This window comes from Homo sapiens, chromosome 7 (genome assembly GCF_000001405.40).
Source record: "Homo sapiens chromosome 7, GRCh38.p14 Primary Assembly".
Taxonomy (NCBI): domain Eukaryota; kingdom Metazoa; phylum Chordata; class Mammalia; order Primates; family Hominidae; genus Homo; species Homo sapiens.
In genome coordinates, this window is record NC_000007.14 from 110551878 (window position 1) to 110555229 (window position 3352).

Here is a 3352-nt window from a genome sequence, read left to right on the forward strand (position 1 = left end):
GGTGATTTATAAGAAAAGATATTTAACTGGCTTATAGTTCTGCAAGCTGTATTGGAAGCATAGCAGCACCTGCTTCTGCGGAGGCCTCAGGAAGCTTCCAATCATCGCAGCAGGCAAAAGGGGAACAGGCACATTACATGGCAAAAGTAGGAGCAGAAGCTGTTCATTGTTGTTGTTAACACTGAGTTACATGGCTTTGTGACCACAGTAAAACTTTCCAGAAATGTTAGCTATCCATTCAGTAAAATAGCCAAAATTTATTAAGCATTTATTATGTGTCCAACATGGCTCTAAACATGTTACATACATACTCATTTATTTCTCATGACACCCTACAGGGTAAGTAAAGTTATTATCTCCATTTTACATATGAGAAAACGAAGGCACAAAAAAGTAAGTGATAACAGTCATATAACTAATAAGTGGAAGAGCCAGCAATAGACCCAGTACAGTCTGGCTTTGGATGCAATAGTCTCTATACTACCCTTCTTCTATTTTAACAGATAAGGAGTATTGAGTGTATCTACCTCATGAAGCTGTTGCCAGAATTAAGTAAATACCTGTAGTATATTGCATTATTTGCTCCAATTCTTCAGCCTTCCCTGTCTCCATGTTCTTTACCACATGTCTTCAGTGTCTTTCTCTACAGGAATAAATTTTTTCCCTACCCTTTGACTTAAGTGGGCCATATGACCTGCTTTTGCTAATAGAATTGGGAAAAAGTGATGGTGCCTATTGATGTACTTATTCTCTGCCATCACCCTGGGAGAAACATGCCCAGAGAAGAGCAGCCCCTGGTCCCAGGAGGAGGATGACAGAAACATGATACAGAGCTGCCCAGGTGAATGCAGCCTGGATTAGCTAATTCCAGCCAATGCTCAGATAAATGAGGTGAATAAATGTCTATTTTTGTATGTCTCTGAGAGTCTGTCATTGTATACTGCACAGCAGTATAGAATACAATACCTATAAAATTATGTAGACCAATGGCTGGCGTATGGACACTTTCTATAGGCATTAGATGTAATTATATTCTGCAGTCTCTTTGTCTTCGTGGTTCTGTTTTATACAAATGATTCCAAAAGAACACATAGTTCATAATTCTGCTTTTTAACTTTGAGATAAGAGCACATAGGTACTGTGTAGCATTTTTTACTAGACTATAACCTCCTTGAGGACAGGAAATCTGGATTTTTAATTTTTTATTCTCAGTTCCTCAAACAATGCCCAGGGTAAGGGCTCAATAAATGTCGATGAAAAGACTATTTTTTTTCTGTTTCTCAATTCAAGCTTTTCCAGGGTTAAGCTACTATTTCATAGAAAGATAGGACAAGCACTTTGGAACCCAGTTAGCCACATACTGCATCATATCCATAGTTTCTACAGGATAATCTTTTATGTTAAGTCTATTACAATGAATGTATTTTATTTCTTCAGTAATAAATTTCCAAAGAAAATCAACTTTGGGGTTCTAATCTGTTACTGAAATAGTAACTTGTTGCAAAGAACTAAAAAACACCATTGGATGAGTCTATCGTGCTGCCACCAGTTACAAGGAAACAGACATGCCTCCTAGCCTGCTCACCAAGTTAAGAATCTCAAACTACGCCACCCTGCCAATCTTTACTCTTTTCAAACACTAATAAAATTATACACTATATCTACCAGCTCTATCTACTATGACTATATCAAGTAGAAATTTACAAATAATTGCTGGAAGCAGCATACCCCCTGCTTCACCATCTGTATTTGGAGTTACCAGAGGAATTACTCTGCCCAGGCCCTTTGAGGTTCCTGGAGGTCCCCTCCTATCTAGACCCTAACTATCCTAGCACTCCCAAGGATTTTTGTTTGCATGTCAAGCTTCCAGTTCCCAAATCCACACTCATTTCTACCTTGTTGGGTCTGCTCTGGGTCTCTGATTCTCCATAACTAGTAAATACCCCTAAATACCTGCAATTTAGTAGGGAAAAATAGCAAAACTTCCCATTTCCTTTCCTTTAGCATTTCTTTTTCTTCTTTCATCTATTTTTATTTTCCTCCAGGAAAATAAATTTTAAAAATTGCCTTACACTGTTCATGGAAGCCACTAGCAAACACTGCAGTACTCTTAATGGTGATGATTCTCAGTTGAAATATTTAATTATCCCCTTTCACCCCATACACACACAATACAGGCCAATGAATCTCTACAACTATGTTGTGTTACAGAAGTGATGTGAGCTGCCCTGGCAGACGGACAAGAAAGAAAGTGAATACTATTTCAGGTACCTTTATTTCCTTCCCTAAACCTGTTAAAAGTGTTATGTATAAGACTTTAAAAACTATATGAGTTACTTATTTCACATGTTTATTGCTGACTTTTGTTGCCTTCTCTTAAGCTAAAGTTCTGTCTTATGAGGCGAATCATATAAACAGTGAAGTTTTAAGAGTTCTTCTATGAATAAACCCTGTAAAACCACCAAGAAATTAGCATTACTCAAAATTCTTCCAAATATCAGTATTTTCATCATCCTACTCAACTATTTAATAAAAAGCTCATATTCAAGAGATACATAATCAGCATAATATATATATTTAAAACAAGAATAAAATATGAAAGGTCTGCTTTCTTTCTGCATCACTGATTTTTACTGTTTCCTTTACCCTCAACTTTAAGGTATGTTCAGTTCCATATAATTACTTATGTAATATGCATTTATAAAGTGCTTGAACATTTTAAAAGTAAGTATCAAGAAACTATCAATGGTAATGTTTTAAAGATGCTAAAAAATTATTTTCACCTAGGCAAACCATATAAACATCCAGTTTTCTTTAAAAATTTCAATAGGCATCCGTAATTAGGGGTATTTCCTGATTTCCATCCTAAAGGAGATTGCCTTTTTTTTGTTTTTTTTAGATGGAATCTCACTGTGTCACCAGGCTGGAGTGCAGTGGTGCAATCCCACCTCACTGCAACCTCCGCTTCCCGGGTTCAAGCGATTCTCCTGCCTCAGCCTCCCGAGTAGCTAGGACTACAGGCGTGCGCCACCACGCCCAGCTAATCTGTGTATTTTCAGTAGAGACAGGGTTTCACTATGTTGGCCAGGATGGTCTCGATCTCTTGACCTCGTGATCTGCCCACCTCGGCCTCCCAAAGTGCTGGGATTACAGGAGTGAGCCACTGCGCCCGGCCCAGACTGCCTTTTCGGTGAGAAGAACAATTTGTGGGGTTGAACTACCTGATGTCAAATAAGAATTACAGCAGGAGTTAGTTATATAAAAATAGTTTCCCACAAATACTAACATAAGAAATATCAAATATCTTGTCATATTTCTAGTATTAAATTTCTTTTGCTTTTACAGTAAATTG